General features: G+C 40.4%; 1 protein-coding gene across 5 annotated transcripts in view, besides 2 other annotated features; it reads right to left on the bottom strand.

The window, feature by feature from the left end:
• Positions 1–2,890: 2,890 nt before the first annotated feature.
• TAF1B (TATA-box binding protein associated factor, RNA polymerase I subunit B) overlaps positions 2,891–26,801 on the bottom strand; it is a 90,975-nt gene continuing 67,064 nt past the window's right edge. For all 5 annotated transcript variants that reach the window (NM_001318976.1, NM_001318977.1, NM_005680.3 and 2 more), the window contains 6 exon segments: positions 2,891–3,524; positions 17,487–17,709; positions 18,196–18,266; positions 24,058–24,148; positions 25,750–25,796; positions 26,394–26,571. In NM_001318976.1, the coding sequence (NP_001305905.1) occupies positions 3,323–3,524; positions 17,487–17,709; positions 18,196–18,266; positions 24,058–24,148; positions 25,750–25,796; positions 26,394–26,571 (812 nt within the window). In that variant the 3' untranslated portion in view covers positions 2,891–3,322.
• Positions 4,059–4,264: a silencer, noted in NCBI's record as "fragment chr2:10073172-10073377 (GRCh37/hg19 assembly coordinates)". NCBI's record gives its function as "represses an EF-1alpha promoter that drives an FKBP-Casp9 reporter gene in an ReSE screen in phorbol 12-myristate 13-acetate-treated (for megakaryocytic differentiation) K562 erythroleukemia cells {active_cell/tissue: K562(+PMA)}" and the evidence as "EXISTENCE:reporter gene assay evidence [ECO:0000049][PMID:32094911]".
• Positions 19,378–19,879: an enhancer, noted in NCBI's record as "H3K4me1 hESC enhancer chr2:10057557-10058058 (GRCh37/hg19 assembly coordinates)". NCBI's record gives its function as "activates a minimal SCP1, AML or CMV promoter by ChIP-STARR-seq in primed H9 embryonic stem cells {active_cell/tissue: H9 hESC(primed)}" and the evidence as "EXISTENCE:reporter gene assay evidence [ECO:0000049][PMID:30033119]".

Genomic DNA, 26,801 nt, shown 5'->3' with positions numbered 1-26,801 from the left:
GAAATGCATGGAAAGCCATATTTTTCACTTCCTTCTCCTCTCTTGTTAATCTTATCTCATATTCATGGGTGGCCCAAAACTTTTCATAGCTTTGAGCGCTCTGTCCCAATATTTTTAAGTACATGGAACTTGTTAGCAACTTTGATTTTTTTATTCAAAGGAAGTGCCATAACACTTCAAATCATGTCAATTCCATGACACTCATCTTCAAAAAAGATCTTTCAGTTCAAATCTTAGAAAGCAAGTTTTTAAATTATAAAAGATATGCTTCTTATATTCTCCAAATCCTGCTCCTGAACAGGGATATTGTTTCAATAGTTTGTTCCTTTTTCACAGCTGAGCAGTGTTTCATTGTATGGATATCCACCATGTGTTTATCCATTCACCTGCTGATGGCTGTTTGGGTTGTTTTCCCTTTTTTTTGCTATTCCAAATAAAGTTGCTATGAATATTTGTATACAAGTCTTTGTGTGGAAACATGCTTTTATTTTTCTTGGGTAGACACCTAGTAGTGGAATGGCTGGGTCACATGGTAGGTCTAATTTTCACTTTTAAGAAACTACCAAACCAGGCTGGGCGCAGTGGCTCACATCTGTAATTCCAGCACTTTGGGAGACAGAGGTGGGAGGATCACCTGAGGTCACGAGTTCAAGACCATCCTGAGCAGCATAGCAAGACCCCATCATCTTTACAAAAAAATAAAATGTCTATTGAATCAAATTTACTTAATATTCACAAACTTTTCTCCACCGGAAGGATGTGAAGAAGGGGAGACAGAGACTGTTAAAGCTATAGGCAGTCTGCAGGTGATTTTTTTTTTTTTAATGTGGTTTGGAATCTGGAGTCGGAGACTTGGGCCCAAATCTCACCACAGCTTTGTGCTGGCTGAGCATCCTGTATATAATTTAAATCAATGTGTAAGTCTCATTATAAAAAGTTACAAAAATTAGGCTGGGCACGGTGGCTCACGCCTGTAATCCCAGCACTTTAGGAGGCCAAGGCGGGTGGATCACGAGGTCAGATCGAGACCATCCTGGCTAACACGGTGAAACCCCATCTCTACTAAAAATTCAAAAATTAGCTGGCGTGGTGGTGGGCGCCTGTAGTCCCAGCTACTCAGGAGGCTGAGGCAGGAGAATGGCATGAAGCCGGGAGGCGGGGCTTGCAGTGAGCCGAGATCGTGCCACTGCACTCCAGCCTGGGCGACAGAGTGAGACTCTGTCTCAAAAAAAAAAAAAAAGTTGCAAAAATTAAAAAATATTAAAAGTTGTAGTCAGCCAGGCGTGGTGGCTCATACCTGTAATCCCAGCACTTTGGGAGGCTGAGGTGGGAGGATCACTTGAGCCGAGAATTTCAAGACTAGCCTAGGCAACATACTGAGACCTCTGTCTCTACAAAAAATAAAAAATTTAGCTGGATATGATGGCACATGCCTGTGGTCTCAGCTAGTCAGGCTCAGGAGGAGCATTTGAGCCAGGGAGTCAAAGCTGCAGTGAGCCAAGGTCACACCACTGTACTCCAGCCTGGGTGACACAGCAAGACCCTGTCTCAAAAAAAAAAAAAAAAAAAAAAAAAAAAAGAAAAGAAAAAAGAAAACCTTACAATAAGTGAAACAGGTAGAGAGTAACAAAATACATTCAATTCAAAATGAACTCTCTAACCACTGCTCACATCCCCACTACGGTGTACTCATCAGAGTAGTCAGTGATACTTTTATGATATACGTTGGATCACATCATTCTTTTGTTTAAAAATTTCCAGTGGCTTCCTGTGACATTTGAGAAAAAAGCCAACCGTGGTAAGGTCATCCTTACCGTGACCTCAGAGCAACCTCTACCATCCCACCTGCCCATCTGCTCTCCCTCTCCCCTTTATCCACAGTGCTCCAGCCACTCTGGACACCCTGCCAGTCCTTGACTGCATCCAGCATGCCCCTGCTCAGAACCTCTGCACATCTTTCCTCTGCCTGGGCTGATCTCCCCCTGGATGGCTGCATGGCTGCTCGTGCTACTGTGTTCCAGGCAAGTTGGTCTCTGCTCTAATGCCACTGCCCCAGAGGATCCTCCCTCAGCCGCCCTTTAAAAAATGGCCTACCTTATCATTTATCTTTTCTTGCTTTTTCTTCATTGTACTTAATTCCCTCAAAAATAATATATATTTTTACTATCAGCTTTCACCTAGTTGGAACCTATGATCTTTAAAGGTGGGGGTCTTGTTCAGTGCTGTATCCCCAGTGCTTAGAACATGCCTGAACACAGGAGTTGCTATCTGTTGCATGCATAAATGAACTCAGAACAAGAATGCCTGATTTTCCAATGTCCATACCAGGTTTTACACATCTTTATAATCTTTGCCAATCCAGTATGTGGGAAACAGTATTCATTTCAATTTGTATTTCTTGAGTATAAGTGAGGTCGAGTATCCTATGATGTTTTTTGGCTTGGCCTTCAGAAAACTAATTTTTCTTTTCTTTTTTTTTTTTTTGAGACAGAGTCTTGCACTGTCACCCAGGCTGCAGTGCAGTGGCGCAATCTCGGCTCACTGCAAGCTCCGCCTCCTAGGTTAACGCCATTCTCCTGCCTCAGCCTCCTGAGTAGCTGGGACTACAGGCGCCCGCCACCATGCCCGGCTAATTTTTTGTATTTTTAGTAGAGACGGGGTTTCACCATGTTAGCTAGGATGGTCTCGATCTCCTGACCTCGTGATCCGCCCACCTCGGCCTCCCAAAGTGCTGGGATTACAGGTGTGAGCCACCGCGCCCGGCCTCAGAAAACTAATTTTTCATATCCCTTACTCAGTTTGCTTTTTTCCTTTTGCTTTGCAAGAGCTATTGATACATTAAAGAAATTATTTCTTTGTCCACCATATGCTGCAAAAATTGACTTTGCCATTCCAAGATCATCAAAGCATTCATATTTGTTTTCTACTAATACTTTTATATTTTTACATATGAAAGATTATGTTTAGATCTTTGATCCATCTGGGATTTACTCTGGGGCATAAAGAATAATGAAGGGATCTAGTTTAAAAAATAAATTTAGCTTTAAAATACGATGAGTATACATTTCTGGATACAATTATACAATTTGCTATTGTTTTAACTTTCTCTTAGAATGTTCATACTCTGAAAAATAAAATCAAATGAAGCTCACCTGCTTTACAATATACATTTTTCTAAGCACACTTGATATATATGTAAATATGTGTCAGAGTCTATACATATATATGCAGTATTTTCCACAATTCTCTGGAATGTTATATTAAAATCTGATGTTATTATCACTATTAAAATATTTTTCCAGAAAGTTTCTATTTCATTTTCTCAATGTCGTCTCACTTTCTTGGATCTTGATTTCTTTCTTTTTACACTGTATTTTTTCTCAAAAAGTTTCTTCTCAACTAAGCTCACTTCTTCATGGAGAAGGGAAGTCTTTATTCTGAGCAGGAAGGAGAAGAGATTTAGTATAAACTGATAACTCAGAGAATAATTTGATTCTTCATAGGTTGTCACATGTGTACAATAGCTAGAAGGGAAAAAGAAAAAAGAATTTATCTTTAGATGGTAACCAAGAAATGCACACACTAACCCCTGAACATCCCCCCAAATAACTTAGCAAATATATATGGTTAGGCTTAAAACAGGACCCTGAGCTGGAAGGAAACTTAGAAGAATTTGTTAACTCCTTAACTGCACAAAGGAAAACATGTTCACACTGTCCATGGCCACCACACAAGGGCCACAGGTGGTGCTAAGAGCTGGTCCTTCAACTCTTTGCTCAAAGTTTCTTCACTCCAGATGGGCCACCACTCCACTTTCTTACCATGGTCAAGGCAAACAAAAGCACACAGGGAGAGATTCTGAACATATTTCTAAAACAAACTAAAGAAAACAAATAATTCCTGACTTCCACCCAAAATAAGACACTAGACTTTATAATGTAGCTTGCAATACTATATGTATTGTGAGAGAAGAGTTTACCAAGCAATTTCCATTATTTTAAAATAGGAAAGCCTTCCGTTACAAGATGGCTGAACAGGAACAGCTCTGGTCTGCAGCTCCCAGCATGATCAGAAGACGGGTGATTTCTGCATTTCCAGCTGAGGTACCTGGTTCATCTCACTGGGACTGGCTGCACAGTGGGTGCAGCCCACGGAGGGTGAGCCGAAGCAGGGCGGGGCATCACCTCACCTGGGAAGGGATTTCCCTTTCCTAGCCAAGGGAAGCCATGACAGACTGTACCTGGAAAATCGGGACACTCCCACCCAAATACTGCGCTTTTCCAATGGTCTTAGCAAACGGCACACCAGGAGATTATAACCTGAGCCTGGCTCAGCTGGTCCCTCGCCCACGGAGCCTTGCTCACTGCTAGTGCAGCAGTCTGAGATTGACCTGCGAGGCAGCAGCCTGGCAGGCGGAGGGGCGTCCACCATTGCTGAGGCTTGAGTAGGTAAACAAAGCGGTCAGGAAGCTCAAACCGGGCAGAGCCCACTGCAGCTCAGCAAGGCCTGCTGCCTCTGTAAACTACACCTCTGGGGGCAGCACACAGCTGAACAAAAGGCAGCAGAAACTTCTGCAGACTTAAACGTCCCTGTCTGACAGCTCTGAAGAAAGCAGTGGTTCTCACAGCATGGTGTTTGAGCTCTGAGAACAGACAGACTGCCTCCTCAAGTGGGTCCCTGACCCCCGTGCAGCCTAACTGGGAGACACCTCCCAGTAAGGGCCGACTGACACCTCATACAGGCAGGTGCCCCCTGGGACAAAGCTTCCAGAGGAAGGATCAGGCAGCAATATTTGCTGTTCTGCAGCCTCCACTGGTGATACCCAGGCAAACAGGGTCTGGAGTGGACTTCCAGCAAACTCCAACAGACCTGCAGCTGAGGGACCTGACTGTTAGAAGGAAAACTAACAAACAGAAAGGAGTAGCATCAACATCAACAAAAAGGACATCCACAACAAAACCTCATCTGTAGGTCACCAACATCAGAGACCAAAGGTAGATAAAACCACAAAGGTGGGGAGAAACCAGAGCAGAAAAGCTGAAAATTCTAAAAACTGGAGCACTTCTTCTCCTCCAAAGGATTGCAGCTCCTTGCCAGCAACGGAACAAAGCTGGATGGAGAATGACTTTGACGAGCTGACAGAAGTAGGCTTCAGAAGGTCGGCAATAACAAACTTTTCTGAGCTAAAGGCAGATGTTCAAACCCATCGCAAGGAAGCTAAAAACCTTGAAAAAAGATTAGACGAATGGCTAACTAGAACAAACAGCGTAGAGAAGACCTTAAATGATCTGATGGAGCTGAAAACCATGGCATGAGAACTATGTGACACATGCACAAGCTTCAATAGCCGATTCGATCAAGTGGAAGAAAGGGTATCAGTGATTGAAGATCAAATTAATGAAATAAAGTAAGAGAGAAGTTTAGAGAAAAAAGTAAAAAGAAACAAACAAAGCCTCCAAGAAATATGGGACTATGTGAAAAGACCAAATCTACATTTGATTAGTGTACCTGAAAGTGACGGGGAGAATGGAACCAAGTTGGAAAACACTCTGCAGGATATTATCCAGGAGAACTTCCCCAACCTAGCAAGGCAGGCCAACATTCAACTTCAGGAAATACAGAGAACACCACACAAAGATACTCCTTGAGAAGAGCAACCCAAGACACATAACTGTCAGATTCACCAAGGTTGAAATGAAGGAAAAAATGTTAAGGGCAGTCAGAGAGAAAGGTCGGTTACCCACAAAGGGAAGCCCATCAGACTAACAGCTGATCTCTCGGCAGAAACTCTACAAGCCAGAAGAAAGCGGGGGACAATATTCAACATTCTTAAAGAAAAGAATTTTCAACCCAGAATTTCATATCCAGCCAAACTAAGCTTCATAAGTGGAGGAGAAATAAAATCCTTTACAGACAAGCAAATGCTGAGAGATTCTGTCACCACCAGGCCTGCCTTACAAGAGCTCCTGAAGGAAGCACTAAACATGGAAAGGAGCAACCGGTATCAGCCGCTGCAAAAACATGCCAAATTGTAAAGACCATCAAGGCTAGGAAGAAACTGCATTAACTAATAGGCAAAATAACCAGCTAACATCATAATGACAGGATCAAATTCACACATAACAATATTAACCTTAAATGTAAATGGGCTAAATGCCCCAATTAAAAGACACAGACTGGCAAATTGGATAAAGAGTCAAGACCCATCAGTGTGCTGTATTCAGGAGACCCATCTCACATGCAGAGACACACATGGGCTCAAAAAAAAGGGATGGAGGAAGATCTACCAAGCAAATAGAAAGCAAAAATAGCATGGGTTGCAATCCTAGTCTCTGATAAAACAGACTTTAAACCAACAAAGATCAAAAGAAATAAAGAAGGCCATTACATAATGGTAAAGGGATCAATTCAACAAGAAGAGCTAACTATCCTAAATATATAGGCACCCAATACAGGAGCACTCAGATTCATAAAGCAAGTCCTCAGAGACCTACAAAGACTTAGACTCCCACACAATAATAATGGGAGACTTTTAACAACCCACTGTCAGTATTAGACAGATTAACGAGACAGAAGGTTAACAAGGATAGATATCCAGGACTTGAACTCAGCTCTGCACCAAGTGGACCTAATAGACATCTATAGAACTCTCCACCCCAAATCAACAGAATATACATTCTTCTCAGCACCACATCACACTTACTCCAAAATTGACCACATAGTTGGAAGTAAAGCACTCCTCAGCAAATGTAAAAGAACAGAAATCACAACAAATGGTCTCTCAGACCACAGTGCAATCAAATTAGAACTCAGGATTAAGAAACTCACTCAAAACCGCACAACTACTTGGAAACTGAACAACCTGTTCCTGAATGACTATGGGGTAAATAACGAAATAAAGATGTACTTTGAAACCAATGAGAACAAAGACACAACATACCAGAATCTCTGGGACACATTTAAAGCAGTGTGTAGAGGGAAGTTTATAGCACTAAATGCCCACAAGAGAAAGCAGGAAAGATCTAAAATCGACATCTTAACATCACAATTAAAAGAACTAGAGAAGCATGAGCAAACAAATTCAAAAGCTAGCAGAAGGCAAGACATAACTAAGATCAGAGGAGAACTGAAGGAGATACAGACACAAAAAACCCTTAAAAAAATCAATGAATCCGGGAGCTGGTTTTTTGAAAAGATGAAAAAAATTGATAGACCGCTAGCAAGACTAATAAAGAAGAAAAGAGAAGAATCAAATAGATGCAATGATAAAGGGGATATCACCACCGATCCCACAGAAATACAAACTACCATCAGAGAATACTATAAATACCTCTATGCAAATAAACTAGAAAATCTAGAAAAAATGAATAAATTCCTGGACATGTACACCTTTCCAAGACTAAGCCAGGAAGAAGCTGAATCTCTGAATAGACCAATAACAGGTTCTGAAATTGAGGCAATAATTAATAGCTTACCAACCAAAAAAAGTCCAGGACCAGACGGATTCACAGCCGAACTCATCAGAGGTACAACAAGGAGCTGGTACCATTCCTTCTGAAACTATTCCAATCAACAGAAAAAAGAGGGAATCCTCCCTAACTCATTTTTATGAGGCCAGCATCATCCTGATACCAAAGCCTGGCAGAGACACAACAAAAAAAGAGAATTTTAGATCAATATCCTTGATGAACATTGATACAAAAATCCTCAATAAAATACTGGAAAACTGAATCCAGCAGCACATCAAAAAGCTTATCCACCACGATCAAGTCGGCTTCATCCCTGGGATGGAAGGCTGGTTCAACATACGCAAATCAATAACATAATCCATCACATAAACAGAACCAAAGGCCAGGCACGGTGGCTCGCGCCTGTAATCCCAGCACTTTGGGAGGCTGACGTGGGTGGATCACGAGGTCAGGAGATTGAGACCGTCTTGGCTAACACGGTGAAACCCCGTCTTTACTAAAAATACAAAAACTTAGCCAGGTGTGGAGGCGGGCACCTGTAGTCCCAGCTACACAGGAGGCTGAGGTAGGAGAATGGCGTGAACCCGGGAGGCGGAGGTTGCAGTCAGCCGAGATTGTGCCACTGCACTCCAGCCTGGGCGACAGAGCGAGACTCCGTCTCTAAACAACAACAACAACAACAACAACAACAACAAACAGAACCAATGACAAAACCACCTGATTATCTCAATAGATGCAGAAGAGGCCTTCGACAAAATTCAACAGCCCTTCATGCTAAAAACTCTCAATAAACTAGGTACTGATGGAACATATCTCAAAACAATAAGAGCTATTTATGAGAAACCCACAGCCAATATCATACTGAATGGGCAAAAACTGGAAGCATTCCCTTTGAAAACTGGCACAAGACAGGGATGCCCTCTCTCACCACTCCTATTCAACATAGTGTTGGAAGTTCTGGCCAGGGCAATCAGGCAGGAGAAAGAAATAAAAGGTATTCAATTAGGAGAAGAGGAAGTCAAATTGTCCCTGTTTGTACATGACATGATTGTATATTCAGAAAACCCCATCATCTCAGCCCAAAATCTCCTTAAGCTGATAAGCAACTTCAGCAAAGTCTCAGGATACAAAATCAATGTGCAAAAATCACAAGCATTCCTTTACACCAATAACAGACAAACAGAGAGCTAAATCATGAGTGAACTCCCATTCACAATTGCTACAAAAAGAATAAAATACCTAGGAATCCAACTTACAAGGGATGTGAAGGATCTCTTCAAGGAGAACTACAAACCACTGCTCAACGAAATAAAAGAGGACACAAACAAATGGAAGAACATTCCATGGTCATGGATAGGAACAATCAATATCGTGAAAATGGCCATGCTGCTTAAGGTAATTTATAGATTCAATGCCATCCCCATCAAGCTACCAATGACTTTCTTCACAGAACTGGAAAAAACTAAAGTTCATATGGAACCAAAAAAGAGCCCGCATTGCCAAAACAATCCTAAGCAAAAAGAACAAAGCTGGAGGCATTACACTACCTGACTTCAAATTATACTACAAGGCTACAGTAACCAAAACAGCATGGTACTGGTACCAAAACAGAGATATAGACCAATGGAACAGAACAGAGGCCTCAGAAATAACACCACACATCTACAACCATCTGATCTTTGACAAACCTGACAAAAACAAGAAGTGGGGAAACGATTCCCTATTTAATAAACGGTGTTGGGAAAACTGGCTAGCCATATGTAGAAAGCTGAAACTGGATCCCTTCCTTACACCTTATACAAAAATTAATTCAAGATGGATTAAAGACTTACATGTTAGACCTAAAACCATAAAAACCCTAGAAGAAAACCTAGGCAATACCATTCAGGACATAGGCATGGGCAAGGACTTCATGACTAAAACACCAAAAGCAATGGCAACAAAAGCCAAAATAGACAAATGGGACCTAATTAAACTAACAAGCTTCTGCACAGCAAAAGAAACTACCATCAGAGTGAACAACTTACAGAATGGGAGAAAATTTTTTCAATCTACCCATCTGACAAAGGGCTAATATCCAGAATCTACAAAGAACTTAAACAAATTTACAAGAAAAAAACAACCCCATCAAAAAGTGAGCAAAGGATATGAACAGACACTTCTCAAAAGAAGACATTTATGCAGCCAACAGACACATGAAAAAATGCTCATCATCACTGGCCATCAGAGAAATGCAAATCAAAACCACAATGAGATACCATCTCACACCAGTTAGAATGGCAATCAATAAAAAGTCAGGAAACAACAGGTGCTGGAGAGGATGTGAAGAAACAGGAATGCTTTCACACTATTGGTAGGACTGTAAACTAGTTCAACCATTGTGGAAGACAGTGTGGCAATTCCTCAAGGATCTAGAACTAGAAATACAGTTTGACCCAGTGATCCCCTTACTGAGTATATACCCAAAGGATTATAAATCATGCTACTATAAAGACACATGCACATGTATGTTTGCTGTGGCACTATTCACAATAGCAAAGACTTGGAACCAACCCAAATGTCCTTCAATGATAGACTGGATTAAGAAAATGTGGCACATATACACCATGGAATACTATGCAGCTATAAAAAAGGATGAGTTCATGACCTTTGCAGGGACATGAATGAAGCTGGAAACCATCATTCTGAGCAAACTATCACAAGGACAGAAAACCAAACACCATATGTTCTCACTCATAAGTGGGAATTGAACAATGAGAACACTTGGACACAGGGCGGGGAACATCACACACTGGGGCCTGTCGTGGGGTGGGGGCAGGGGGAGGGACAACATTAGGAGAAATACCTAATGTAAATGACCAGTTGATGGGTACAGCAAACCAACATGGCACATGTATCTATGTAACAAACCTGTAGGTTGTGCACATGTACCCTAGAACTTAAAGTATATATATAAAAAAAAAGTTAAACCTGAATCTGATCAAATCTCTAACTAATGTTAACTGCCAATCTCTCTTTTTTTTTTTTTTTTTTGAGACAGAGTCTCACCCCGCTGACTGCAACCTCTGCCTCCCAGGTTCAAGTGATTCTCCTGCCTCAGCCCCCCAAGTAGCTGGGACTACAGGCATGCACCACCATGCCCGGCTAATTTTTGTATTTTTAGTAGAGATGGGGTTTCACCATGTTGGCCAGTCTGGTCTCGAACTCCTGACCTCAGGTGATCCACCCACCTCAGCCTCCCAAAGTGTTGAGATTACAGGCATGAGCCACCGCACCTGGCCATAACTGCCAATCTCAAACTAACTACATCAACATATAGGCTATCCAGGGATAGAGGAAGAGGTTAGATGGCATCATATGGCACTGTCTATACACAAAATCTGGACTATGAGAAATTGTATGGGACACATGACCAGGATTACTCAGTAAGTACATTGTAAGAAGAAAAAAGAGAGAGATAAAGAGGTGGGGCCTTAAGAACTGAAACACTTATGAGCCATGTCAACCACTTGCAATATATGGGCCTGATTTGGATTCTGAGTTAAACTCATTTAAAAAATTTTATGACAATAGGGAAAAATCTAATCACTGACTGCATATTGGAGAATATTAAGAAATGACTTAATTTTTTATATCTGATTAATGGTATTATGGTTTTACTTTAAAAAATATGATGTTTGAGATCTGTTTCCAAATAATGGGGGGCAGAGGGGTAGAGTAAGCTGGAGCCTGGGTGAAGCAAGTCTTGCCATGTCACAGTTGCTGAGATTGAGTGACAGAGACGGGGGGTTCTTTATACTACTCTACTTCTGAGTATACCAGAAATTTCCCATTATCAACTTTAAAAAGCAAGTAAAGAAATAACATATAGAAGCTATAGACATTGAGATATTATGATTTACATAATATATACGGCCCTAAATTCCTGAATGTCTATGTTTGCACCATAAAACTCTGCCACTTGGTTGGGCACAGTGGCTCATGCCTGTAATCCCAACACTTTGGGAGGCCGAGGCGGGCAGATCACGAGGTCAGGAGTTTGAGACCAGCCTGACTAACATGATGAAACCCCGTCTCTACTAAAAATACAAAAATTAGCCAGGGGTGGTAGCGCATGTCTGTAGTAGCAGCCACTCGGGAGGCTGAGGCACAAGAATCGCTTGAACCCAGGGAGGTCGCAGTGAGCCAAGATTGTGTCACTGCACTCTAGCCTGGGTGACAGAACGAGCTTCTGTCTCAAAAAAAAAACAAACACCCCAAAACAAAAAAACCCAAAACCAATCAACCAACCAAACAAAACCCTCTGCCACCCATTAGCTGTGACTATGGGTAACTACTCTTGGTTCTCTCATCTGTAAAACGGAAAAAAATAACAGTACTTACACTTTTCTTTTTTTTGAGACGGAGTCTCACTCTGTCACCCAGGCTGGAGTGCAGTGGCACAATCTTGGCTCACTGCAAGCTCCGCCTCCCGGGTTCATGCCATTCTCCTACCTCAGCCTCCTGAGTAGCTGGGACTACAGGCATGCACCACCATGCCCGGCTAATTTTTTGTATTTTAGTAGAGATGGGGTTTCACCATGTTGGCCAGGATGGTCTCGATCTCCTGACCTCGTAATCCGCCCACCTCGGCCTCCCAAAGTGCTGGGATTACAGGTGTGAGCCACCCTGCCCGGCCTGAGTACTGTTTTTTCACTATAGTTTAAAAAAATAGTTAAAAAATAATTTTTAAAAAATTAAAATCACATTTTTGTGGGGCTGCCAAAGCACTTCCATTTCCTGTGGAATACAACTAAAGACCACTGCTCTGCCTCATCTGTGGAACTCCCAGGGAGGTGACGGCCACCACCTACAAGAAGTCAGGTCTTCTGACCTAGCCAACTGTTATAACAATTGGAGGAATAGTAAGGGCATTTCAATTCATTGAAATTGTTAACTCTGCCTCAGCTAGGAAGAATAAACAGCCTCCCATACCTGAAGTACTCTTGTGGCCTTTCTCTGCTTAGTTCCCAAGCTCTGAGTGTTTTCACAATTTTACAGCAAATGTTTTGTTTCTTCTGAACACTCAGAAATGAGTCCTTCTGCCTAACAAAATTCGATACATAGCTAAATATTTGCTCTCATAAGCATCACTTTTCATTGTAATCATTTTCAATGGTTGTCTTAGAGCATATTCGGCATATTTTAGCCTTTACAATGATATTATTACAGTTGCCTGTTTTTATTGTAGAAACATTAGAAAACATGCTAATAAAACCCACCACGAAGGCACACAGCGTCTTAGGACAGGTGCTGTGCTGAAGCAGGGATGTGGTCCCCTTATTTAGTGGCATGGAGCCATGAACTTCAGGCTCTGCGACTGGAGCTCTGTCTGCTTTGGATTCTGATGTTGGCTCCCCTATTGTTGTCAAAGGGTGTCATTTATGTTTGCCGTCAAGATGTCTATCAGCAGAGTGCTTCTCAGACCTCTCCTTTTGTTTCTTTGATGATGAGGAGTTTGGAAATCAGACAACTCAGCCTAAGGGCAGAGTCAGGGGCTCTGAGCGAGGGGCTAAGGGGCTCTCTGAGAAAAAAGGCTGAGTTTTAGTCACGGTCTCTGTGGCATTTTTACTGCCCAGCTGAAGCCTTTTTTGCTTCCTCTGCAGTTCTAGGCTCTGGTCTAGAACAGGTAAGGTTGACAGATAAGTTTGGTGCCTAAAGTCATGGTATCACTGAAACTTCATACAGTTAGAATTTAGTTTTATACTTCATGCAGAGAAAAAAATCTCAGCAGTTTCATCGCTGACTATACTAAGCTCTATGTATAACTCACTGCATTATACTGCAGTATTAAATCTGAGATAATCCACAATCCACCCTCCTGCCCTGTGAAAAAGCACAAAGGTACGGATCACGACATAAGCTGCTCAGGACCAACTCTGCAGCTGGAGGAGGCAGGGCATGGCACACCATGTCTTCACTTGGAGTTGTGGGCAAGCACTCTTCACTGGGGACTATAACTCTTTCTCCTCTTCAGGATAAAATCTGAAAATCATTGACATGACCAATGCAAAGGAATCGATTACCTCAGACATGGCGCTGACCCTGGGTTGGGGTTCTGGCCTTTCCCCGTGGCTGCTATTAAGCAGTGCCACTCTTAAATCAATTTTTTTTTTTTTGAGACAGAGTTTCGCTCTTGTTGCCCAGGCTGGAGTGCAATGGCGTGATCTCGGCTCACTGCAACCTCCACCTCCTGGGTTCAAGTGATTCGCCTGCCTCAGCCTACCAAGTAGCTGGGATTACAGGCATGCGCCACCACATCCAGCTAATTTTGTATTTTTAGTAGAGACAGGGGTTTCTCCATGTTGGTCAGGCTGGTCTCGAACTCCAGACCTCAGGTGATCTGCCCGCCTTGGCCTCCCAAAGTGCTGGGATTACAGGTGTGAACCACCGTGCCCGGCCAACAGTGCCACTCTTTAATCGTTGTAGATGCAGCTCAACTTTTTTTTTAAGCAGCAAATCTTAATATAGACAACTTTATCATCTCCCACTGTATTTTCTACAGTTCAATTATCTTTGATTGATACCAACTTAAGAAATAATTTTTTTTTTTTTTTTTTTGAGATGGAGTCTTGCTCTGTCGCCCAGGCTGGAGTGCAGTGGTGTGCTCTCAGCTCACTGCAACCAATGCCTCCCGGGTTCAAGTGATTCTCATGCCTCAGCCTCCCGAGTAGATTATACACGTGCACCACCACACCCGGCTAATTTTGTATTTTTAGTAGAGGCAGGGTTTTGCCATGTTGGCTAGGTTGGTCTCGAACTCCTGGACTCAAGTGATCCACCTGCCTCAGCCTCCCTAAGTGCTAGGATTACAGGTGGAGCCACCAAGCCCAGACCAGGAAATAACATTAGTTAACAGAAAATTAGCTTTGTTTAAAATAATAATGGTCATACTTATGTTTGATTGAGTACTTACTATGTGACACACATCAAATACCTCATTCAATTCTCACAAGAACTTGGGGTAGGCCCTATTTTCCATTCATTCATTCAATAAATACTTGGTGGGCACCTAGTCTGTGCTAGGCCCTGGTCTAGCCGCTGGGATTTTTCATTAAATAAAACAGAGTCCTCCTTACATTCTAGTAGTCCTTACATTCTCAAGGCCCTTACATTCTAGTGTGGGGAGATGGATAAATAAGCAAAATAAATATATAATAATATATTCTATTAAATAGTGATGAAAACTACAAAGAAAAATGAAATAGGCCAGGGGACAGAGAATAATGAGGGGTGTTGGGGGAATGATTGGTGCTATTTTAGGCAGGATGGCTGAGAAAAATCTCTCCAAGGAAGTGAAATTTGAGCAAAAACCTGAAAGAAGTGAGCCCATGTGGATACATGGGGGAAAGAACATTCTAGGCAGGAGGCAGAGCAGGTACAAAGGCCCATGTGGGGAGTGTCTGGTAAGCTCAAGGAGCAGCTGGGAGGTCACTCTGAACATAGGGTGACAGCAAGGAGGTCAGAGGACAGCAGAGGGAAGGTCAAGAGGGCCGTGTTGGCTCCACAATGTTTTTTGGGTCTTCCTTTCAATGAGATGGGAGCCACTGAAGGTTTTGAGAAGAGGAAAAGATCAGTATTATCCCCACATTTACAACTGGGTCAGCACAGCTGTAGAGAAGTGAGTAACCTTCCTACAATTAGCAAGTGGCAGACTTAGGATAGAAACAGCCCGATTCTATGATTCTATAGCAAGTCCTCTTAGCTACTAGAAAATTTCCTCTTGGGCAATTTCTATGTCAATATGGGGATGAGATTACTTTAAATATAGTCACAATGAGAAAAGCCTTTATGCTTTTATTTTTCACACGTTAATTACTGAGAACTTTAGTGAGGGAATATTAGTCTAGTCTTTTTATTTTTAACAGGAAGACACTGAAAGGTAAAGTAACTTCAAAGTCACAGAACTATTTTATTGAATGGCCTTTTCGCTATTATTATATAAAACGGAACTAAAAGTTAAAATAGGCAAGGAGAAAAAAACTTCATGGCATAGCCTGAATCTTTTTAGTTTTTCTCCTCAAACTTTATTATAAAAAATTTCAATCATACAGCAAAGTTGAAAGAATTTTATGGTAAACACCTGTATACCCCACTGATTATCTCTGTAATTTTTAATCCATATACTCCTCTCTACAGCTATTAAGACACTACAGAAGGAAAGTGGGGAAAACATACTCTTATTAAAAAAATCTTCTCTTCAAGTGGACTTGGAAAACAAACTTCCTGAGTTACCTTTGTATCTATCTAGGACTTAGGATAATGACTTATTTTTATCAAGTACTCAAAAAATACTTTTGGAGTTGATTTTCAGTACAATTAAAGAAAAACGAATGTGCTCTGGGGAGTAATATGTTCTTCACTATCTACTGCCTGAGGAAATTTTCTGAGTCATATGAAAATAGATGGCTGGGCGCAGTGGCTCACACCTGTAATCCCAGCACTTTGGGAGGCTGGGGCAGGAGGACTGCTTGAGCTCAGGCATTTGAGACCAACCTGGGCAGCATAGGGAGACCCTCGTCTCTGCAAAAAATAAAAAATTAGCTGGGTATGGTGGTGCACACGTGTAGTTCCAGCTACTTGGAAGGCTGAGGTGGGAGGATTGCTTGAGCCTAGGAAGTTGAGGCTGCAGTGAGCCATTATCGTGCCACTGTACTCCAGCTTGGGTGACACAGCAAGACCTCATAAATTACTTAAGAATTTACACTGTATTATTCCAATATCGACCGTTTATAGGGAATATATAACTCTTCTGAAAAAATAAAGCAAAAATAAGAAGGCAGCCTATTACTAAGCCGGAAGTCTAAGAGCCAGTATGCCACAGAGCCGATCATTAATTAAACCTGATGAAGTCAAAAGCCTGTGTCTTACTATTTAGACATACAAGTTTTCCACTATGTCCTACACAGATTCCTCTCCTCAGTGCAGCTTCCCATCTTTAGTCCTATTTTATCCAGACCCAATAACCATAAAAGCGCGTGTTGTTTTCTAGACTTCACATGCCCACACTCGACAGATACGAGGACAGAACATAAAACATGAAATCAAGGGGACAAAGTTGAATGAAGATCAGAGTATTTCACTGACCAAGTATCTCCCTGCAGATTTTTTATTAGTTGTAAGGGGAAACATAGTAACTACACTGTGGAAAAACGACACAGCACCTTGACTGGGTGATCACTATTAACACCTGAGGGGCAAATGGACCCCCCGCCCCCCGCCCCAGTCTACAGACGCCATACCCTGAGAAATGATACCCTGAGGAGGACACGGCACTTGTTTTGGCCAGGGATGCAGAACCTGAATCTAAACATGAGGAACCATCACAACCATACTCAGAAACATTGTGTAACATCACTGACATTTCTGAAAAATACAGCTCAATGTCATGAAAGACAAAGAAAGGCTGAGGGACAATCAGATTAAAGGAGACCGAAGAGATAAAATCAATCAATGCCATACCTACTCCTGAACTTGATCCTGCTATAAAAGGACACTGGGGGTCTAATGAGAAAATTGGAATATGGACTGTGGGTGAGATAAAGGTATCGTATCAGTATTAAGTTTCCTGAGTTTGATAACTGTACTGTGGTCACTTAAGAGAATATCCTTATTTTTAGGAAATACTTAAGGAAGTATTAAGAGGTAGAAAGACATGATAAAGGTAACTGACTCAGAGAAGTGATATGTACTAAAAAATACAGCACATTCTCCTGATCAGCATTTACAGCCACTTCTATTGCTTGCCTGCCACACTGCAGGTTAATTTAGCTAGAGGGGATAGTTTGTGCTAATTGCCCTGTATCCTCTTTCTTGATTTTTACCAGCTTTCCTAGAACTCCTACACAAGACTCAATGTATAATTCTGATTTTCGTGACTTTAAGCTCACCAGCTTCTAATTCCAACAAAAAACCTATCTGGCTCTTATACAGTCAACTACTTCAATTATATGTGACTTTTTCTAAAAGCATTATTACCATCTGCAGAATTTCTGTGTACTAAGCCAATATAATGAATTCTTAGTCAGCAGTGATTGGCCTTTCTCTTTCAGGACTCCCTGAAGGCTGTGTCCATGGAAACACGTTCTATCAGTGTCCTCTTCAGTCCAGTTGAACTGAAAACTTGAAGGGCTTTTTTTTCCAGCAGTTGCTGTTGACTCGACCAGTGTGCTAAATTGTTTCTGTAGATTCACCACCATTTCTGGAACCGGAGAAAAAAAGGAAACAAAATAACAAGTAATGTTAAATCACAAATAAAGCCTGGAATTTACTTGATAGGAATGTACCAATATTGGTTCCTTAGTTTTCGCAGATGTACCACAGTAATGTAACAGGATAACGTTAAGGGAAAATGAAACTGGATGAGGTGCATGGGGGAAACCTTACTTCAAAAAGAATGTACAGTCTAAAAGGAATTCTATAAGCAAAGAATTTCCAAAATCATAACGATTTAGGATTTTAGATTTTGGCAGGAACTGAGGCTCTGTTTTGAAGAACGACATATTCCTGAAGTAGATTCCTGCAGAGATTTCTTGCAGAGTATGATGCTCCTTTGGATGTACATGTGCCCTGGAACATTTGTTTAAAAAAAGTAAAAAACTTAAGCATTCAACATTTCAAGTCCAGATATTTAATTTTTCTACAACTGTGTTGCTACTTGGTATTAAAAAGACAAAATTTGACTTACCTCTTTTTTTATATGCTACTGGTTTGTCGACAAATGAGTAGTAGAGTGGCTTTTCACTTTTCCACAGGTACCTGTACAAGGTAAAGAAACAGCTGGAGCAGGACGGAGATGAAACGGACATAAACACATTGTCTGAAGCACTATCTGAGATTTCTGATATTTCGTTATAGCTCTGGCTTGGAATGGCCTACTGGCACATGTCTATATTGCCTATTGAACTTAGGCCCTAGAAGGAACCACTGACCAACAGCCCAGGCCAAGAGAATGGTGTGCTCCTCTCAAAAGCCACCCAGATGCTGTGACATCTTGAAGAAGCTATTAATTATACAAAAAACATAGAAACTGTTTCCTTCACCATAAATTTCCCTTGCTGCTCATTCTCATAAAGTGAAGCTACCTCAGAAACAACTGTTCCTCATTGCCTTTGTCCCAATGCCTTTTTGCTGAGAGTTGTTAGTAGTACTTCTGATTCTGATAACTTACACACAGTGAACAGTAAATGCGTCTCTCTGGCATCTGATGCCAGGAAATCTATTCTATTCCTGGTGTAAAGGAGAGGAAAAGACTGGATTCCAGGATGACACAGTCCCAGTAGTCCCTGTTCTGACTCAGCCTATTCTTGCCAAGGGAAGGATGGCCAGGGAGTTTCCACTGTAAAATGGGGATCCTGGATTGCTCTGGCTCTTGGGGTTCCCTCCAGGACAAACACTAAGAGCCATCTAAGGTTCCTACAGATGAGGGTGATCAGTTCCAGACTCCAAAAGGAAGTGACATGTTCTATTTCTAGTTCTAGTGGCTGTTGCTAAACTTTGCCAAGCAGACGCTGCTGCTCTGGAACAAAGACAACAAGGTTCATTCTTGGTCTCATTTTTATTATTTCTGTGTTCCCTAGAGCAGAGAACTTTCATAACTTATAATAATTTTAAAAATCCACCTTCTTCTTAATCCCAGGCCATTTTCTTATTTTGAAAGACACTGTGGCAACAAGAAAGAGTACTGAATCAGAAGACCTGGCTCCACCATTTTCTTTTTTTTTTTTTGAGACGGAGTCTCGCTCTGTCGCCCAGGCTGGAGTGCAGTGGTGGGATCTCGGCTCACTGCAAGCTCCGCCTCCCGGGTTCACGCCATTCTCCTGCCTCAGCCTCCCAAGTAGCTGGGACTACAGGCGCCCGCCACTACGCCCGGCTAATTTTTTGTATTTTTAGTAGAGACGGGGTTTCACCGTTTTAGCCGGGATGGTCTCAATCTCCTGACCTCGTGATCCGCCCGCCTCGGCCTCCCAAAGTGCTGGGATTACAGGCGTGAGCCACCGCGCCCGGCCGGCTCCACCATTTTCTAGTGGCATGACCTTGAATGACAAATTATGGAGGTTCTTAAAGGCAGAGACTGTCTCAGCCATCCTTATGCCCCTAGTGTTGTCAGGGAGTGGTAGAGAGTAGGAACTCATTTAAACATTTGTTGAAGAATAATTGGGTGAATAAATGAACAAAGAAATGAATTTAGCATCTCTAAACTTATCCTCTACTTTCACAGGGTTATTCTGAAGAATAAGATGCTGTATGTATTGGTTCTTTAAATCCTATACAATAATTAGAATTATTATTAGTACTTGACAAAGTGCCTGGCTAGTAGATACTCAAGAAATATCTGTGAACTTTCCAGAAAAACAGATTAAAAATAGGAAGCCAGAAATACAAATATTTTAAAAATCTGTAGCATCTATAATAATTTCTCACCATTTATTTTTAATACTAGGAAGTAATACGTATATAAAAGCACACATTTTTAACAATATTTTAGTAATATCATTTAGCAAATAATCATTTTAACCGATTTAAGAACTGATTTTTTCAAGAATTTTAAAAAATACTTGATCAAGTCAGTAAAATCATGACTATACATAAAACAGATGTTGACTTTTTATTTTGAATTTCTGCAATGATATTAAATGTTAAGAACAGAAAGGAGTCGGGCGCAGTGGCTCATGCCTGTAATCCCAGCACTTTGGGAGGCTGAGGTGGGAGGATCACCTGAGGTTGGGAGTTTGAGACCAGCCTGACCAACATGGAGAAACCCCGTCTCTTTAGTAAATACAAAATTAGTTGGGCATGGTGGCACATGCCTGTAATCTCAGCTACTTGGGAGGCTGAGGCAGAAGAACTGCTTGAACCCGGGAGGCGGAAGTTGCGGTGGGCCGAGATCGTGTCATTGCACTCCAGCACTCCAGCCTGGGCAACAAGAGCAAAAATCCATCTCAAAAAAAAAAAAAAAAAAGAACAGAAAGGAAATTTTTCTAATCATTAGGTAGCAGTAGAGATGTAATTAATGTTATACAGGAGATGGTTTCCTGAAAATCATGTGAAACTAAACTTTAGTGAACCATACCACATTTAAAATATATCAGAGAGTTTGTCATTTAATGTTATGGTAAATGAGTTAGCGATTCTTTAAAATATATTTTTTTGCCATTAATTTTCTTAAATAATAAAATCTCAAAGGATAAAGAAGTTCCCTGAACAGTCTAATCCCAATCCCTGGGCACACTCACTGTTAAACATTCCTTGTGAATACCTAATCTAAATGGAAGTTTCTTATGCATTTACAGTAAATGCCTACACAAGTGGCAATCATGCCACAGATCAAGAAAGCATTATGATGCCCTTGGGGTGATATGCCCCAAGAATGGGAAAGGTGATCTAAAATAAAAATACTCTTAAGTGTTCAGATACCTGAAATGAAAGCTTCTTCCAAAATTGACTTTACCTTGCCTGCCTTTTCTCATTACATAAAACTACAAAAGGAGACACATCACAAACCATGTTTTCCAGTTACATGTTATCTATATATTTCTCTCTTGTCTGTCTGCATATGTTTCCTCATTTTTAAAAATTAAGGTATAATTTACATTCAGTAAAATTTACTCTTTTCAGTGTAGTTCTGCTAGCACTGACAAACACATACAGTTGCATGTGTGTACTCACCACAATTACTACGTAGAACAGTTCCATCACTCCAAAATATCTCCCACATCCCTTGACAGTCAACCCTTGATCTCAGGCAACTACTGGTCTGTTTTTCTGTCCCCATAGTTTAGCCTTTTCCAGAATGTCATATAAATGGAATCATAGCATAAGTAACCTTTTGAGTCTTTCACATAGCATAATGCATTTAAGATTCACTCATATTGCTGGATGCATAAGAAGTCTGTACTGCTAAATGGTATTCCACTGTACGGATACAACAGTTTAGCTAGTCACCAGTTGAAGAACATGTGGTTTGTTGCCAGTTTTTGGCAATTATGAATGAAACCATTAGAAACATTCCTATGCAGATTTTTGTGTGAGCTTGTTTTCATTTCATTAGGGTAAATATCTAGGAGTGAAAAACACTGGATAACATAATAAATGTATGTTTAACTTTGAGAAACTGACAACTTTTCAAAATAGCGGTACCATTTTGAATTCCCACACTGGGAATGATCAGTTTTTGTTTTTGTTTTGTTTTGAACCATTCTAATTGGTATATAATGATATGTCATTGTCGTTTTAATTTGCATTTCCCTATTAATGATGTTAAACATCTTTTCACATGCCATCTTGATATCATCTTTGGTAAAACGTCTTTTCAAATATTTTGCCCATTTAAAAAAATGGAGTTTTTTTCTTATTGCCTAAAAATTCTTTATATACTCTAGATACAAATCTTTAAACGGATATGTGATTTGCATTTAATTTCTCCTCGTCTGTAGCTTCTTATTCGTTTAAGTTCTTTTGTGGAGCAGAGGTTCTTACTTCTGATGAAGTCCAATTTACCAATTTTTTTTCTTTTATAGATCATGCTTTTGGTGTCACATCTAAGAAATTTCTGCCTAACCCAAAAGGGAAGGCAAAAATTAGCAGTGAACTCAAATTAAAACCATAATGAGATATCACTATACACCAATTAGGGCATAGAGATTTTCTGCACAGGCTTAATTTTTCTCCATGTTCTTCTCAACATCTTCTATAACAGCTAGAAGTCATCAAAGTAGCCTCTTACGCTGTTTTAGGTTTTCAACTATTGTTTATTAGTGTTTTTCATAATCTCATGCATAGGAACCCATGCTCAGATATAGAAAATGTTTTAATAATTTTCATCTGACAACATGGATGATAATATTCAGAGAAACAAAGAGAAAAATTAGACATGTATGTCAACATGGGGGTGGGGAAGGGTGAAACCGACAGGTGGCCACCACGCACTGAGCTCTGGGCCTGAGCAGCAGTTGGTAGTGCTTCGCATATTACTCAGCAGTGACTCACACTGCACGTGTGTGTCAGCCCTCAGCACATACTCTAGGAAGAAGGACCTTGGAAACGGGTCCCCTCGACAGCCTCCACCTTGGGGCCCGGTACCTCCCTGGAAAGTGCCATTTTATAACCAGACTTACTTTCTTTGGCCAATAAATTATTCCCTAAAGTAGCTAAAAGCCGGTAAGTCTTAAATGTGCAACTGACATAACACTGCAATAATGAACTGGGCCTCCAAGAGCTATGTTTAAAGTGTAGGTTGGTGTCTGGCTTGGGGTAAGGAAAGCCCTGTCACCACTGAGACCCCAGGGAGGAATGGCCCCTAGGCACCCAGTCCTTAGGATCCGTCAGGACTAACCCCAGCTAGCACCACAGAAAGGAAGGCTGATTCTCCAAAATGACCTAAGACACATAACAAAATCTTGTTCCTGCTGCTATTCTTGTGCCCACTGAGAGCCACTGACTGAAGAGTCACTCCTTCTCTGATGAGGAGGCAGGGAGCCTGGTTTCCTGGGAATCCATGGGCTGTTGGGATAAATTCACCTCCACCCCTCTTCTTCATTGTGCATCAATCCTGCCTACTGAGAGGGAACCTGTCACACTTCCCTGCTATGGAAAGGATCATCTCCACAGTGCCTTTTCTACCCCAAGAGTCTGTTTTTCTATTTAAAAGCCCTCTGAAATTTAGAGGAAAAATAATCTAGTTCTACTCTCATACTGGAAAATTGGGTCTTAATTACAGTATATAAGTGGGCATTATTATGTCTATTTTACTGATGAAGAAATAGGAGCTGAACAAATTCTCATTTCAACTAATATGGGGAACCTTGATTTTTCTCAAAGGATATAAAATTACTGAGTCGAATTAGTATTACTGTAAATTTACATTAAATACAGAGATGTTACCTTTTTCTTCAAAGCCTCAAAGAGACTCAGACTCAGCAAAAGGTTAAGTAACTGGCCCATGGGCACACAGCTAGCTTGTAATGCAGACAGGATTCAAACCTAGCGCTGCTTATGCTCTCTTCTACCCTACCACAATGAGCCCACATCAGAATGACAGTTCAAAGAAAGGCAGTGACACTGGCTGAATCAAATGGACTTGCTATCTGCTTTCCTTTGTTTTAATTTTCACAGGGATCTTTATTTTGGGGGAACATTCCAATTACATATGTTGCAAGGTAACATTTGTAATCTTTTTAATATTGGGAAGCATAGATGAGAAATGACTAAATTTGAGAAAGGGGAAGAGGGAGGAGTATTAGAAATATAGGCAAGTCTCATGCAAATTATAAAAAGTTAAATTATAAAAAGTATACTGTGGTATCCTGCATTGGATCATGGAACAGAAAGAGGACATTAATAAAAACACTGGTGAAATCCACATCAAATCTAAACTTTGATTAATAGTAATGTAAAAAAGAGAAAAGTTAATTAGAGTGTAGGGCTAATATTTCCAGAAAAAAAAGTCACAATGTAGATAAGTGTATACTGATGAAGCTTCAGCTTTCAAATGTAAAGTAACAGACACAGAAGTAAGGCAGGTGCATCTAAACCAGGAAGGAGAACATACTTGGCCCTTGCTTCTTCCCATTTTTGTTTTTTCTCATCAAAAGCTTTCTTCATAATTTGGTACCACTTTCTGAAATCAAACCATGGCTTATCTGAAAGAAATAAAATCCAAGATTATTAACCAAATAAACCACACTATAATAATATACATTGTTCATCTGAGTTTTCATTAATTGACTGCACTGGGCAGTTGGTGTGAGTGTGTGATCAAGATGTAGACATTAGAGAGACAACAGAACTGAATGCAGTAAAGTATAAAAACTCACTCCTCACTCTTTCACTCCATACAGGGATTATTCTCCATTATTCTCTGGCGAAGGCAGTCTCTTTCCATGCCTAACTAAAAATCTTTTCAACTGGTCAATATGATAATTGTTTAATCCAATATGACCTTGTAGACCATACAGCCACAGAAGAGAGGAAACTACCGAAAGAACTGTAAGAACAGAGGAAAACTATAGTAATCAATAGAACTCACGGTTCTTGGACCTGGAGTAAATCACAACTTTTCTAAACCTCAATCTCCCCATCAATAATGCTGGGGGCAGGGGATGGTGATTAGCAGACAGAGCAGAGAGAAATGACAGTGATCTTTGCCCTGCTGACAGCATGGATTTATTTTGAGGCTTACAGGGAGACAGGTCAAAGCGCTCTGTTTATTCTACATGTCTACGTAGTAAATTATCATCTTTTAGCATTAGAGGGGATGTTAGAAGACAGCTAGTTCAACCTTTCACTCTACATAGAAGCCAACATGAGCAATGTACAGAAAGTAGTATTTTATTTTGCACATATTCTGGAAAGAACACACAAACTGATTGCTTCCAATAAATTCAAGCCTCTAAAACCAATGAACATAAATCCTAATGAGAACAGAACATTAAGAAACTGGAATTGAATTTAATAATCCACATATTCACCACACTTCACTGAGTTGCTCTTAGGCTAGTCACTATGTTAGGCACTAAAGATACATTAAAAGAAAAAAAAAAAAAGATATGATCCCTCCCTCCAGAAGCTCACACTTCACTTGTCTATCTGTCTATCACTTATAAAGTACTTATTAGATGCCAGATACTCTTCTAAGCACTTTACAAATATTGGCAATCTAATAGGGACAGACGTACTTAGGCCATTAGTTAGACCTCAAGGCACTAAACATCTAGCAAAAGTCTGAACAAGAGTGACTGCGGCAGGAGTTATTAGTTCTGATTTGGGAAGAGGTGAAGCATTGTGAAGTGGATAGGTGTGAAGACCAGACAGAAGAGTGGTGTTTATGCTGCATCTTCAAGAATAAAGAGGCATTTGCCAGGGACTGAACAGGAGTTGGGGTAAGAAGGAAAGAGCATTTCAGATAGAGGGACCAACAAGAGCAAAGGCTGAAAGCATCAGAATCGACAGGATGGTCACAAAGCTGCCTGTAAATTCATGATCTAGCATGGCTGGTGAGTAGAAGTTGGGAATACAAAGCAGCCTGGTCTTACATATAATACGGACTCACTGATATTTTTTAGTACCCTAGAGATACAAGTAGGTAATTATATGAAAAAACAATACTGGTACAATATACAATTTGTATACATGTGTTTATGTGTATATGTGTATTTTTCAAAGTTGTTTGCCTACATTTATTCCATCTTTTAATCTATCATCTATAACCACTTTGAATTTGAATGATAAAAAATTAAAATACCTTTTTTGTTCTTTTCATTATGCTTTTCAGCAAGATTAGACAAAGACCTGGAGATAACAATAAACAAATCAATTTATTTAGAAGTCATGTATTTGGAAAGATAAATTCTGAATTCTTCTGAGAGAAAAGTGTAGAACAGTATTTGAAATTGATACCATGTTTTAATGGAGAAGCAATCACTGAAACAGAGGAGGAGACACTATAAATACTGTCACTCTTTGTTGGCATCTGGGAGGGGTGACATATTAAGATTCCTTTACTTTCTAAAATAATCTTTGAGAACACATATTGCCAGGAGCCTAAAGGGATATAGATAGAGATTTATGAAGATACTTTAAAACTAGGAAATCAGTGGAGCAATGAGGAACATTGCTACCTAAAGAATAACAGGTATAAAACATGATCAAACAACTGACAACCAGCTGAGTCAAAGTACTGTGTAAGAAATAATTGTGACTACTAGTCAATGTTCTGTAACAATTGAGAGTCTCCATTTTTTGAGATAACATATAATTAGGTAAATACAGTACAAATTTTTTCTTTAGCTCTTTTTTTAAAGTGTCTTCATGACATTTAAAGCTTTCTTAAAAAACTAAGATCAGCACCATAAAATGTTACTTGTCATAAAATTGACGTACACTTACCACTCGAAACTGTCATCCAATAGAAAGAGCAGTTTCAATACCACCACAATGATAGCTACAGCTTGTACATCGTACTTAACAGTTTTTGCCATTTTAGCTATAGGATCAAATGTCAGAAAATCCACTTCTCCCATTCCAGTCATTTTTACCACGTGGCAAGTTAAGCTATGCATTTCATCTGAAGAACAAAACAGTAAAATGTAAATTATTTGCCAACTAGACCATCCCCAATGTATATATCCATAAAATAACCTTTATCTTAAAACACGACACTATGCAAGAACTCAGAGACCCACATTTTGTGAATAAAACATCAAAACATGGCATCCATATAGAAAAATGAATGGTAGAATCTTAAAACGGCGTATCATTCCCTATTCCGACTTCCTAAAACATCTACTATTTCTA

This window comes from Homo sapiens, chromosome 2, assembly GCF_000001405.40.
Source record: "Homo sapiens chromosome 2, GRCh38.p14 Primary Assembly".
In the NCBI taxonomy this organism is placed as follows: Eukaryota; Metazoa; Chordata; class Mammalia; order Primates; family Hominidae; genus Homo; species Homo sapiens.
Note: the sequence above shows the minus strand (reverse complement) of the source record. Positions and strands in the feature narration are given on the sequence as shown.